The 14,444-nt window shown below is 40.6% G+C and overlaps 1 protein-coding gene across 10 annotated transcripts in view; it reads left to right on the top strand.

The window, feature by feature from the left end:
• The window catches only part of DCT (dopachrome tautomerase), a 112,596-nt gene that overhangs the window by 64,887 nt on the left and 33,265 nt on the right, over nucleotides 1–14,444 (top strand). For 4 of the 10 annotated variants that reach the window (NM_001922.5, NM_001129889.3, XM_017020401.3 and 1 more), the window contains exon 1: nucleotides 4,838–5,559. The exons of the other annotated variants lie outside the window; for them this stretch is intronic. In NM_001922.5, the coding sequence (NP_001913.2) occupies nucleotides 5,265–5,559 (295 nt within the window). In that variant the 5' untranslated portion in view covers nucleotides 4,838–5,264. Of the gene's footprint in view, nucleotides 1–4,837; nucleotides 5,560–14,444 lie in introns of those variants that run through there. 10 annotated transcript variants of the gene reach the window in all.

The raw sequence follows: 14,444 nt of genomic DNA, 5'->3' as shown, positions 1-14,444 counted from the left end.
GGCATTTTGTTATGGAAGCCAAAGCAAACTAATACAGACCTCAAAAGGCAATTCCATACGAATAGAAGAGCAGATGGGGATATGAGAGGCATCTGACTTTAAGGCAGCCTTGTGAAAGCTATATGAAAATGACATAAGGCTTTAAGTTGATTTCAAATGCAGTAAAAATAAAATACTTCTTGACTCTCCCTAAAGGGGCCATCCTCACAGAACCCCTGTCTTTGAGAGCAGCTGTCTTGCCCGCGGACTTGCTTTTTGCCAATGGGGTGGGAGCAGACGTGAGTAAGGTGGACCTCTTCCAAGTAGTGGCCCATCACTGACCTCTACTTTGACGCAAAATTAGCAGAATGAAAAGAATGAAAAGATGCTGTTTCCCCCTGGGTCCTGGAGTGAACACAGTGTACAGCACAGTCACAGCTGACATGTGGTGGATGTGCAGCTGCATAAGAAATAAACATTTCTTTTATAAGCCAAATAACATTTTGAGGTCTTAACTGCAGCGTGAGTTAGCCTGAGTGGATGTAGACAAAATTGATGAGGTGATGTGACTGTCTAGCAAAGCTTACAAGGTAATTCTTTTTCGGTTATCTTTGCTTAGATCGTAGCAGGAACATTGAATTAAGTTATGGGAAACCTGCATTCAGAGGTCAAATCGTGAACTGTGTTGTCCGTAAAAAAGACCATGCTGATGGGGAGATTTAAAACTAAGTCATATGGGCCGGGCACGGTGGCTCACACCTGTAAACTCCCAGCACTTTGGGAGGCCGAGGTGGGAGGATCACCTGAGGTCAGGAGTTTGAGACCGGCCTGGCCAACATGGTGAAACTTCGTCTCTACTGAAAATACAAAAATTAGCCAGATGTGGTGGTGGGTGCCTGTAGTCCCAGGTACTCGAGAGGCAGAGGTAGGAGAATTGCTTAAACTGGGAGGTGGAGATTGCAGTGAGCCAAGATTGCACCACTGCACTCCAGCCTGGGTTACACAGTGAGACTCTGTCTCAAAAACAAAAAACAAACTAAGTCATATGAAAGAAAATGAAAAGGAATGGAGAATATTTAGTCTGGAAAAAAAAAAAAGGGAGAAACGCCTGTGGGAAATGGACTGTACCCGGTCTATGGAGCCTGACTGGGTTACCAAAGGCTTTTGATGAAAGAATTGGGGAAGGAAATTTTTATTTAACATTTATGTTTAAATTTACATTTAAATTATACTTACTGTTAAAAACTTTTTTTTGTTTATTTATTTGAGACAGGGTCTCACTCCTTTCTGCAGGCTGGAGTGCAGTGGTGCAATCACGGCTCACTTGTAGCCTCAACCTCCTGGACTCAAGAAATCCTCCTGCCTCAGCCTCCCTACTAGATGGGACTACAGGTGCATGTCACCATGCCCAGCTAATTTTTGTATATTTAGTAGAGATGGGGTTTCACCATGTTGCCCAGGCTGATCTCAGACTCCTGGGCTCACGTGATCTGCCTGCCTTGGCCTCCCAAAATGTTGGGATTACAAGGCATGAGCCACTGTGCCAGGCCAAAAACTTATTGAAAAGGAAGAATTTCCTCACCCTTAGAACTGTTCCTGAAATGTTGTGAGAACCTCCTCACTAGTGATATTTTGTTGGAAATACTGAGGGGGGAGTTCATGGGTTGTAGTGATGTTGGGTTGGTGGTTTTCAAACATTTGCAGCAGTTTAATAAAACCTAATATGAAACCCCCAATATAATAGTGGTCATTATAAGCCTAAGTGTTTTATATATTCAAAATAAAAGCATTTAATTTGTATAAAGCCAGTCACTATAATAATGAGGCCCTTTTGATGAACATACAGTTTTGAATTGGGAATATTTATTCATCAACTATTTATCAAGTAGTCTCTATTTGCCAAATACTGTTGCACATGTTGGAAAAACACAGCAGAGTTAAGGAGCTTATAGTCCAGTAGATGAGACAGTCTTTCAGCCACCTAACCAATAAGTCAGATAACTTTAGATGGTGATAAGTGCTATGAAGAAAATAAAATAAGGTAATGTGGTAGAGAGAAGGTGGCTGGCTGTAGACGTGTTAAAATATCATGGAAGGCCTCTCTGAGAAGCTGAGGGCTCTGAGCAAGATTATTCCAGACAGAGGGAATGGCAAGACAAAGGCCAAGGTGGAAATGAATGGGGGCATGTTTGAATAATAGTGATTGCAATAGTCTGCCATCCAGAAGAAGAGATTGAGAGGCAGGCGAGGGAAAAATCATGGAGGATCTTTTAAGCTAGTTCTCAAACTATCCATGGTAAATGATTAAAAAAGAAAAATGTTCCAGCCACAGACTAACACGTGATCCAACTGCACATGACTCATTGCATTCAGCCTGTGCTCCGTGATCATCACCATGCACGTTTGGCAACCTCACAGCCGGACTCTCCCCTCTTGAATGAAACTACTGATCGTATGCCTGAATGTTATCCCAATGTCAAATTGCTATGAAAATTTCCCAGTGTTGACTCTCAATTTCTATTCTTATTGTTCTTAACTTGATGTAAACCAGGAACACACCATTCACGGATCTGTTGGCCACACTTTGAGTAGCACATGCAAAGCACCTCGGATTTTACTTGAAGTGCATTGGAAAGCACACATGGGGAGGTGGGAAAGAGAAGACTCAAAGATCACTTGTAGGGTTGTGGTGATGCTGCTCTTTGTGGAGATGGAGAAGACCAATGGAGAACACATTTGGGAGGAGAGAGCAAAAGTTCTCAACTTGGGTGAGAAATATCTAAACCTTCAAGTAGAGAGGTCCAGTAGGAAGTTAGATAATATGAGTCTGGGGCTCACAACTGAGGTCAAAGTCAGAGTTGTAATTTTGGAAAGTCATGATAGCCTGCATTTAAGGCCTCAGACTAGCTGAGTTATCTAGCAAGTGTGGAAATGAAAGAAAAGAGATCCTAGGACTTCGACCTGGGGCATTCTGACATAAGAATTATTGACTCCATCAGTTTTAACATCCAAGAAATTTTATCTTAACATTTATGGAGCCCCAAGGCTTCACAAAAACCTGGAATAAAATTCCCAAGTGTCACAATGCTGGCATGAAGTGGCAGTCAATAAATATACATGGAATGAATGAATGAGCTCCAAAATAAAGGTTTCAAAAACCCCTGAGATTTTGCGATTTTAGAACCCCAAGTTTCTTCCCACCCATGATGTGTTAGGTTGAATGGTGACTTCCCCAAAAGATATGTCCATGTCTCAGAACCTGTGAATGTGACTTTGTCTGGAAAAAAGAGTCTTCTTTGCAGATGTAATTGAGTGAAGAATCTTGAGATGAGATCATCCTGGATTATCTGAGTGGGCTCTACATCCAATAAGTGTCCTTATAAGAAACAGACATGGAGGAAAAACACAGACAGATGGGGAGAAGGCCATGGGGCTGTGGCAGACATTGGAGCTGCGGTTTCAAGCCAAGGATTGACAGCAGCTGCCAGAAGCTTGAAAAGGCAAGGAGGATTCTAGCCTAGAGTCTCCAGGGAGAGTGCAGCCGCCTGGCTGACACACGCCAGTCCTGCCAACACCTTCATTTTAGACTTCTGGCCTTCAGAACAGTGAGAAAATAGATTTCTGTTGTTTTCAGTCATCCAGTTTGTGGTCATTTGTTACAGAAGCCTCAGGAAACTATTGCACATGGTCTCTTTTAGCTGATGCTGATGCAATATTTCCTTTGGAGCTCTGCTGTATTCTGATTCAGTGATTCTCAACTCTGGCTGAGCATTAGAATTGCCTAGATGTTTTCTAACAAAGGTTGGTTGGTGTCTGGAACATCCTCAGAGATTCTGATTCAGTAGGGCTGTGGTACAGGCTGATATTGGTGTAGAGTCAGACATAAGAATTGCCATTTAATTAGTCACAACAACTTAACATCAAGGGGTGGCACAGAGGTACAGGGGGTGGGAATACCTATATAATTGTTTCACCTTAGGAATTTGCTTTGAAACATAACAATATGTGTCTTTACATTCAAGTATATTCTTAGAAACTAGCTGAAGCCGTTTCGCATCCTTGTGGCACTAAGTCCTGTTTCCACTGTGAAACAGTTACCAAGACAGTCCTGTTTCCACTGTGAAAAAATAAATGGATGTTCTGACAGGTGGCCACCATTGCTGACCTGACCATTCTCCAGAAGCACCAGGAGGCATTGCTTTCTAGACTGAAGCTCAGTCATGCTTCACTTTAGTCTAATCAAAAAGATTTGCTTGCAAGCCTTCATTCCAAATGGTTCCAGTGCCTTCCATACAATCAGATAATGACAATTGTGAGTTTCTGGTGGCATGCTACTTCATGTAATTAAAAAAAAATTGCTGCGTAGATGTGCTGAATAGGAGAAGAGTAAGTTATTATTTGGAGGGAAGAGGATTCCCAATTGTGGAACAAAGCAATTCCTTGTACCCTGGTTCTACATAAATGTTTCTTTATTTTTGAAGTTGCATGACCCCCTGTTGTGGTCTTTTTTGCACACATGTCAGAAAGCAGCCATGAGTGCATTGTAGTTGGCAATGTGAGCTTCTGTGTAAAGGGTCTTTGACGAAGAGCTCACTGCATCTACTGACTCCCCAGGATGTCTGAGGTCACAAGTTTGGCTGGAGCACATGAGCCCAGATAAAGAAGATGGTTTTGCCCTCCTGAAATAAAGCCAGAAGTGATCTCCTTTATTGTGCACTTTGGGTCATGTGCTAATGATGAGGGTTTCTGTAATACTAATCCCCCTAATGAAGGCTTCTCCCAGCCCTTACACAAGCCCCCAAGGCCCCGTGGCTTGGCAAGCCAGAGAGAATAAAAGCAGCACGGTGTTTGGCTTTTGAACTGAGTTCAAGGCAATTAAAGTCAAGAGCTAAGGAGGGAGGGAGAGGGTTTAGAAATACCAGCATAATAAGTAGTATGACTGGGTGCTCTGTAAATTAACTCAATTAGACAAAGCCTGACTTAACGGGGGAAGATGGTGAGAAGCGCTACCCTCATTAAATTTGGTTGTTAGAGGCGCTTCTAAGGAAATTAAGTCTGTTAGTTGTTTGAATCACATAAAATTGTGTGTGCACGTTCATGTACACATGTGCACACATGTAACCTCTGTGATTCTTGTGGGTATTTTTTTAAGAAGAAAGGAATAGAAAGCAAAGAAAAATAAAAAATACTGAAAAGAAAAGACTGAAAGAGTAGAAGATAAGGAGAAAAGTACGACAGAGACAAGGAAAGTAAGAGAGAGAGAGAGCTCTCCCAATTATAAAGCCATGAGCCCCCTTTGGTGGGGGTTTCTGCTCAGTTGCTTGGGCTGCAAAATCCTGCCAGGAGCCCAGGGTCAGTTCCCCCGAGTCTGCATGACGGTGGACAGCCTAGTGAACAAGGAGTGCTGCCCACGCCTGGGTGCAGAGTCGGCCAATGTCTGTGGCTCTCAGCAAGGCCGGGGGCAGTGCACAGAGGTGCGAGCCGACACAAGGCCCTGGAGTGGTCCCTACATCCTACGAAACCAGGATGACCGTGAGCTGTGGCCAAGAAAATTCTTCCACCGGACCTGCAAGTGCACAGGTGAGGCCCATGCTCCAAGCTTGGTGGGGAGGGCCAGAGCTGGGGAAAGAGCTCCTTCTAAGGAAGAGATGAGACTCTTGACAGAGACTCTTAGATTAGGCTTTGAAAGGCAAACCAATGATGGTTTTGGTCGGAAGCATATTCAATAAGGCTGATGTGCTGGTTTATTCTTCACACCCTCTAGTACATCTAGTTATGAAGACTAAATAAATATGGCGTGGGCCAAGCCTGCTTATATGAATGCATGCCAACATACTATTGGCTTGTTTGTTGGAAGGGGAATTTAAGAGCTTAAAAGCGTCAGCTTTGAAACTCGGAGCAAGTCCTTTCAAGATGGATTCGGTGCCCTCTCCTGAAATGGGTTTGCACTTGTTGAAAAGGGATGGGTGAAGCTTGGCATTCGGAAGACAGGAGTCAAAGGCAGGTGTTCTGGTCTCAGCATTTCTCATGATTTGAACAGATCTCTCTCTCTCTCTTTTTTTTGGAGATGGAGTCTCGCTTTGTCACCGTGGCTGGAGTGCAATGGTGCTATCTCAGCTCACTGCAACCTCCATCTCCCGGGTTCAAGTGATTCTCCTGCCTCAGCCTCCCAAGTAGCTGGGATTACAGGCACCCGCCATCATGCCTGGCTAATTTTTGTATTTCGAGACGGGGTTTCACCATGTTGGCCAAGCTGGTCCCGAACTCCTGACCTCAGCAGGGTGCATGTTTCTCATTAAAGCTTATGACCAGGTTGTAACTTTGACAAAATTGTCGAGACGTGGCAAGACAGAGCTTTCTCGAGGAGCTGGGGGTGGGGGGGGCGGGCGGGGGGTTGTTATTAGATAACAATGGCTTTTTGTCACTCTTCTCTGGACTTGAACCGGACATCACAAAATTTGCTCAGTGTCCTTCCTTTAGACTCTGGTCTCTCTCATTACCTGTTGCTTTGACATCTCTGTGCATTTCTCATTCCTCTAGCTCTTTGGGGCTTTTTCAAATCCTCTTCAATCTTTCCCACCTCCAGTTTCCAGCAGCCATATGCCCTTCGGGAATAAACACTCAAAGCCTGGCAGGGGGCCACTGAAATACAAAAAACACAAGTGGCAACCTCAGGAAAGCCCTTGGACACTGTTGTAGGCTGGGTGGTTGCAGAAGACTTTTTCCTTTTAAAAATACTTTTTACTTCTCTTCTCATAGGATGCTGGAACATAGGAGGATATAGGTCATTGAGCTTCATAAGGGGTTGAATAGGTATTACTAAGGGAACATACAAAGGCCTGTGATGTTGGTGTAGGAATGACATTCGATTTTTTTTTTTAATTTTAACTTTCAACTTTATTTTAGATCCTGGGGATACAAGTGCAGGTTTGTGACATAGATATATTGCACAGTGCTAGGGTTTGAGATATGATTGATCCTGTCACCCAGGTAGTGTGCGAAGCACCCAGTGGGTAGTTTTTCAACCTTTGACCCCTCCCTCCCTCCCCTCTCTAGCAGTCCCCAGTGCCTATTGTTGCCATCTTTATGTCCATGAGTGCCCAGACATTAGATTTCTTTTTTCACATTAAGAGTTCTGGCTTTAGGCCTGGTGCAGTGGCTCACGCCTGTAATCCCAGCACTTTGGAAGGCTGAAGTGGGTGGGTCACTTTGAGGTCAGGAGTTTGAGACCAGCCTGGCCAACATGGTGAAACCTTGTCTCTACTAAAAATACAAAAATTATCTGGGTGTGGTGGCAGGCACCTGTAATCCCAGCTACTCTGGGGGCTGAGACAGGAGAATCTCTTGAACCCAGGAGGCAGAGGTTGCAGTGAGCAGAAATCACACCACTGCACTCCAGCCTGGGTGACAGAGTGAGATCTGTCTCAAAAAAATAAATAAATAAATAAATAGTTCTGGCTTTATAATCATTTTGTAGTAATATTTTTAATTCTGTCATTCAGAAGAATATCTAGGTCCTGGTTTTGCCCTGGGTATTAATCATGACAAAAATTTCAATAACATATTGGATATATATTATCCAGCTTTTCTAAGTTTTTTAAGCATTTGCTTCTATAGACCTTCTCTCAAAATTATCATGGTGTTTTAGACGAATGAGGAGCAGGTTGCTGGTGTGGTTAGCGTGATTGAAAACCACACTAACACAGTAACTTCTTTGTTCAAAACCCCAAAATACTTCTAGAACAATTATTTCTATGTCAATCAATGAAAAAGTGCTGGCCAAGCGCAGTGGCTCACGCCTTTGGGAGCCAAGCACTTTGGGAGGCCAAGACGGGTCAGGAGTTCAACACCAGCCTAGCCAACATGGTGAAACCCTGTCTCTACTAAAAATACAAAAATTAGCGAGGTGTGGTGATGGGCACCTGTAATCCCAGCTACTTGGGAGGCTGAGACAGGAGAATCACTTGAACCCAGGAGGTGGAGGTTGCAGTGAGCTGAAATCGCGCCACTGCACGCAGCCTGGGCAACAATAGAGTGAGACTGTGTCTCAGAAAAAAAAAAAAAAAAAAAAGAAAGTGCCAACACTTTCAAAAAGTTGTAAATCTGCATTGCATAGAATCCTGAGGCAGAGGACTTTAGGAAGTCACATATAACCATAAACTCTTTTTGTTACCAGCTTCTTCATATTTTTGCCATGGCTAGCAAGTTTTGTTTTGTTTTAGGTAGGGATAGAAAGAATAGAAGGGATCATTGCTATTTCCCTTTGGTAAGGAAATGTTTATAAATATTGCTCTAGAAGTAATAGGAACTTAGGATCATGGAGACCTACCTTCAAAAAAAAAAAAAAAAAAAAAAAAAAAGAGGCTCCCCCTGCTCTAAAAAGCCCTTGGGCCAGAAATAAATAGGGCCTGTTCTTTAAGTCCAGGCTGTAAGGAAGTCCCATGTACATAAGCCAGTCCAAAGAAGCAGGGCTTCCTCCAGGGAGATGGTCTGCCTCTCCAGCCATTGTCAAGGCCCGGCCTGGCCCTGAGGCCCCATCTCCAGGCTGTGGCTCACCTCCCCCCGTGATCTGCTCAGTCCAAACTCATCAGGAACAGAACTCTTTCCACACCTACATTTTTTTAAAGGTAACTTAAGATTTACTGTATCTATAAGTTCAATTTACTAGACTTTTAATGTTTCCCAGTTTTATTGAGGCATAATTGTTACACAGAACACTGCACATAATTAACGTGCACAATATGGTGTTTGGACATACCTATACAGTTGTGTTGCCATTTCCACAATCAAGATAATGAACATATTCATCATCTCCAAAGGTTCCTCGTGGTTCTTTGTTTTTGTTTATTTTTTGCTTTTGTGGTAAGAACAGTTAACATGAGATCTGCCCTCTTAACACATTTTTAAGTGCCGAATGCCTTATTGTTAACTATAGGCACTATATTGTACAGAAAATCTCTGGAACTTGCTCATCTTGTATCATTATAACTTTACAACTCCCTATCGCCCCTCCCCCATCCCCTGGTAACCACAATTCCGTCGTGTACTTCTCTATGTTCAGCTACTTTAGATGCCTCATATAAGAATAATCATGCAGAGTTTGTCCTTCTGAGACTGACTTATTTCACTTAGCACAAATGTCTTCCAGGTCCATCCATGCTGTCGCAAATGGTAGAATTTTTTTCTTTTTAAAGGCTGAATAATATTCCATTGTATTGTCATACCAACTTTGGATGGCTCTACTTATCTTGCTAGATGGTCTTTTTCTTTGAATCTCAGGGCACGAGACTAAGTCCTTAGTGACTGAGCTGGGAAGTTATTTTGTGTATGTCATAATTACCATTCTGTGATGAGCCGTGTGTCCCAAAGCAGGACACATGTCCTTCAATTAATTATTCCCCAAAGAGTAAGTTGCTAGCCTTCCTAGGGTAGCTTTTTTATGGTTTGTGGGGCAATCTTTGGAATTGAAACCTGATCCTGAGCCTCCCAGAGAACATCCTCTACAGTAGCCTGATGACTCTTTTGCGAATGGAGTCACTGGGGCACTCCTGGGATGATCCAAAATTTCTCAAGGAAGAGATGTAGATTAGTGTCTTGTAACAGACTATTGATGACCCCAAATGTTGTTAATTCTTTGGAAAATAAACACCTCATAGTTTCCATAATCATGAAGCTGGTAAAGTAATTTCAGCCTAATAAGTAGAAACACATAGAAATTCTGGGATTTGTTTTTTAAAACTCTAAATTCTATGGTGAAATTCTCTGTAGAGAGCTTCTCTATAGTCTCTGTAGGGATAAATTGAAACAAAAAAGCCACTGAGCTTAATTGTCAGGAAGAGCTGAATTGCAGGAGACTTTGAATTTGCTATTCACCTTATAAGGCTTACCTGCCAGTTGGCTTTATGAGAATATGCCATTTGCAGCTATGTCTTTTGGCTTCTGAAAAACTTGCGCACCAAATAGTTTTTGAACAGTTGACGGTGAACTTCTTGTTTGTACAAGTGACTAATTGCCTCCATTTTCCAATCTCTGAAATGGGGATAATGATGAAACCACACTTGTAAAATCCTTTTGATTTCTGTAGATGAAAGGACCTATGTAAGTATAAAGTATTGTTATTAAAATAATAGAATCTCTAATTAAAAGGAATAGGCTATTTAGAGTTCCTTGTAAATTCACTAATCGGTGGTCTTTAAGCTTATTTAGTCTAATGGCTTTCTGAGGTTGAGCTGATGCAGTTCATGTAGGAATGTGTGGTGTTTAGATGATCTCACTCTTTTTTCCATTTTTATCATAGTCCTTTGTAAACATGAGACTTTGACTCTTTAAATTTAATTTTCACTGAAGGACATACTCAATGGTCGATAGATTGATATTATCTAGGAATCATTTTTTTTCCTCTCTCCATTTCCCAGTAAGATAACACGGTTCTTTCTAAAACACTTCTCTTCTTATATTTTTTGCATTGGTAGATTAAGAAGAAAAAACTAAATCATGTTAAATTGATGGAAGATGCTATTAGGAAAACTAAATTAAAGAAATAAACATTTTGTCTGCTAGGCTTTCATGTTGTTACACTTTTCAGTCATCTCCAGCATTTCAACAAATTCTTCAGGTCAGGTCTATAAACTTAGAAATGAAAGGGACCTGACTGCAGAGCTTTGGAATAATTTCTCTGAGACATCTTGGAAAAGGAATTTTTTAATTGAATAAATTTCTGGGTCATAAATGGGCTCCAAAACAGACACAAGCTTTCTTTACCCCCCCACTTCCCATTCTTTTCACAGATGTTGAAAGCTTTCTTATTAGAACTTATACATTGCCTTTTGGAGGCAACTCTGGTTACATTAAAGTTTCTTGTTCACTGTAGTTGTGAAGCATCTCTGATTTTCTGAATCAGGATTAATCATTTCGTCATTTGTCATCCAGTGGAGCTTGACTTATTCCTCTGTTTTCACTTTTCCCACAGTTTGACTTGTGTTGAAATGTCATTGTGTACTTGTCCTTCATTTCCACTAGACTAAGGTATTATTGCCTCATTTATACAGATGCTCCCTGACTTATGATGGGGTTACATCCCAATAATCCATCATAAGTTGAAAATACTGTTAAGTCAAAAATGCATTTAATACACCTAATCTATGAACATCACAGCTTAGCATAACCTACCTTAAATGCACTCAGAACACTAACATTAGCCTACAGTTGGGACAAAGCATCTCACACAAGGCCTATTTTATAATAAGGTATTGAATATCTCATGTAATTTACTAAATACTGTACTGAAGGTGAAAACCAAAATAGTCATATGGATATTCGAAGTAGAGTTTCTACTGAATGCATATTGATTTTGCACCATCCTAAAGTTGAAAAATTTTAAGTTGAACCATCATAAGTCAGAGGCCATCTGTATTTGTATTCACTAGTGTCTGATCCCTTTTATTCAATTATTCATTGATTCTTTCACCACCCATCCAAGCAACATTTATTTAGCATCAACTAGGCCCTTCAGATACAGAGAGGGGGAAAAACTGACGTGATTCTTAAGATGTGCACAGTATAGTCATATGTAAGACAGATATGAAGACAAACAATTGCTATACTATTTGATAAGTGGTCTCTAATAATACTAGTAATAATAACACAATATAGAACTCACGGCAGGGTGCGGTGGCTCATGCCTGTAATCCCAACACTTTGGGAGGCCAAGGCAGGTGGATCACCCGAGTTCAGGAGTTCAAGATCAGCCTGCCCAACATGGTGAAACCCCATCTCTACTAAAAATACAAAAATTGGCCAGGTGTGGTGGTGTGCACCTGTAATCCCAGCTACTAGGGAGGCTGAGGCAGGAGAATCGCTTGAACCGGGGAGGTGGTTGTTGCAGGGAGCTGAGATCACGTCACTGCACTCCAGCCTGGGTGACAGAGTGAGACTGTCTTGACAAAAAAAAAAAAAAAAAAAAAAAAAAAAAATATATATATATATATATATATATATATATATATATATATATATATATGTATGTATGTATATATTTAACTCACTGTATACCAGATGTAGTTCTATGTGCTCCACATTAATGTGCTTGTTTTTTATAACATAAAAGCTATGGTAGCATAAAGGAAGATGTGTTGATTGTTGTATTTTTTAATAGACTTTAGAGCAGTTTTAGGTTCACAGCAAAACTGAGTCAAAAGTACAGAGAGTTGCCAACCCCCTGCCCTCACACACTCACATCTCCCTCACTGTCAGTGCATGTTTAGTGTTGGCTACCTTTTAGATAGTAGCTGTTCAATAAATTGTTTGTTAAATAAATACATGAGAGAGCCAATTATTTTGTTTCTGCCAACTACAAAGAATCATGGCAAAGAAAATAAGAGTAGTCTTCAAATTCATGGCATAAGTTATGAATGACTCAGTTTCAACAGTCAGGCCCCCAATTCAAAAACAAGTGTTATGCCTTTAAATGTAAAAAGGTATTAAATTATTATTATAAATTTTAGGTGTGTTATTTATTAATATTTTTAAATATTGAGACTTTATTATTTTAGATCAGTTTTGGATTCACATTGAAATTGGGGAGAAAGTACAAAAAATTCCCATCTACCTTCTCCCCCACACTCTGCAATCTTCCACTAGCAACATCCGCAAACCAGGGTTACAATCAATGAACCTCTACCGACATTATTATCATCCAAATTTCTCAGCATTATGAAGCAAGGAATTACTCTTCTACTGCAGAGAAGTGACTAGACATTTACCTCCAATCAGCTATAGATAGGCAGCTGGAAATTTGACTGAATTTTAATCTGGGTAGCTACTCTTCTTTAGACACAGCATTTTGTTCACTCAGTTCTCAAAACAGTGTTCCATTCCTGTACTGTCATAGTAGGTGATATGTTTTAATCAAATCTGTTTTTAATACATACAGTTTTAGTAAGGTTGCCCCAGGGAAAATAGACTTCAAGGTCCATAAAACGAAGCATCTTGCATAGCATCTGATGAGATAGTAGCCGCTTCATAAATATTTGTTAAATAAATAGTTTGTATTTAATTATCTCCAGGAATCAATGTACATTTTAATGTTTAACTTAAACTATTCAAAAACATTGTTAGTCTTGGGAAGAGTAGAATTTTTCCTTTTTTCAATATTTTAACTTATGTTCTCATAGAGTGCTGTAAAAGAAAAATACAGATAATTGAGCTACGTAAAAGGTGGGATATATGATATATTATAAAAAACAAAAAAACTCAACCGATTACAATTAGAAAAAATTCTCCCTACTTACATTTTAAGGAAATTTTCTTTAACTATCAGAAAATCCACTGTAGAAAAGGAAGCCTGTGCATTTTCTTTACAGAATGCTGTTAATCATTTTGTTTTCATGCTGTTGGAAAATTTTCCTTTCCTTGAGAGATCCAAATAACTCCCCCTCCCCTATGGTCATAGTACTTTTTACTTACCTCTATTTTGCTACTTGTAGTTTACCAAAATTATTTATAGGGGCTGCTTTTTCTGCAAACCCACAGAACAGGGAGAGAAAATGTATGTGGCATCATCTGCTACATGCTCGATACTTCTGTTATTCACTCAACACACATTTGTTTTGAACAAGGCTAAGCACAGGCCTAGGCAGTGAGTTCACAGCCTTACAGCTGCCTGGAGCTGAAACAAGTGTAGTAATGTTTACAATCAGTGTAAATAAATGTGAAGAAAGGGGATGTATGAGGTGCAAGGAAGTAACTGACCCGAACCCCGACCTTTGGAATCAAGAATGACCTTAGAGAGCACAAACGTGAAGCTTAAAGGAGAAATGGATCACGCAGGTAAAGAGGAATTTAGGGAGACAGTGAGGGAAAAGTGTTTCAGGAAGAAGGAAAAGCAAGCAAATAGGCCTAGGGCATGAGGTAGAGGAGGAGGAGTAAGTGAGCTGGTCACCCTCTTTAAATGCTTTACGTAATCCCTTTAATCTTCTGGGAGATAAGCATTATCATCCCCTTTCGTTTCAATCTTGTGCTCTAATGATATTTAAATTTTACCCTCTAACCTAAGGAATGAAATGTTGGTCATACCCAAAGGCAATAAGTTGGAAGGCTAAGAAGGGAAAAGTCTGGGGCAAGCTACAAGGATGTAAACTTTAGATGCTGATCAGAGAGATGCCCAGAGCTTGATCTTATTAGTCCTGTCCTCCTTCCCTGGGCTTTGAGAAAGCAGGGAGCTTTGTGCAGCTGACAGAAATCCTGTGGTGGTTTGTACTTCCTGACATCATGGCTACTGATTCACCCTGAGGACTTGACAGCTTCCGTTGATTTTGTCTTAATGCTGTCAACTTCGTGAAATAAGTCAGCTTTTTAAATGTGAGATTTCTTCTAAATTCCTAGAAATCAGTTAATTTATGTATTTATTTTCTTTCTTTCTCTCTCTCTTTCTTTCTCTTCCTTTCTTTCTTTCTTTTCTTTCTTTT

The sequence above is a fragment of the Homo sapiens genome, chromosome 13, assembly GCF_000001405.40.
Source record: "Homo sapiens chromosome 13, GRCh38.p14 Primary Assembly".
Lineage (NCBI taxonomy): Eukaryota > Metazoa > Chordata > Mammalia > Primates > Hominidae > Homo > Homo sapiens.
This window is presented reverse-complemented; position numbering and strand designations above follow the sequence as displayed.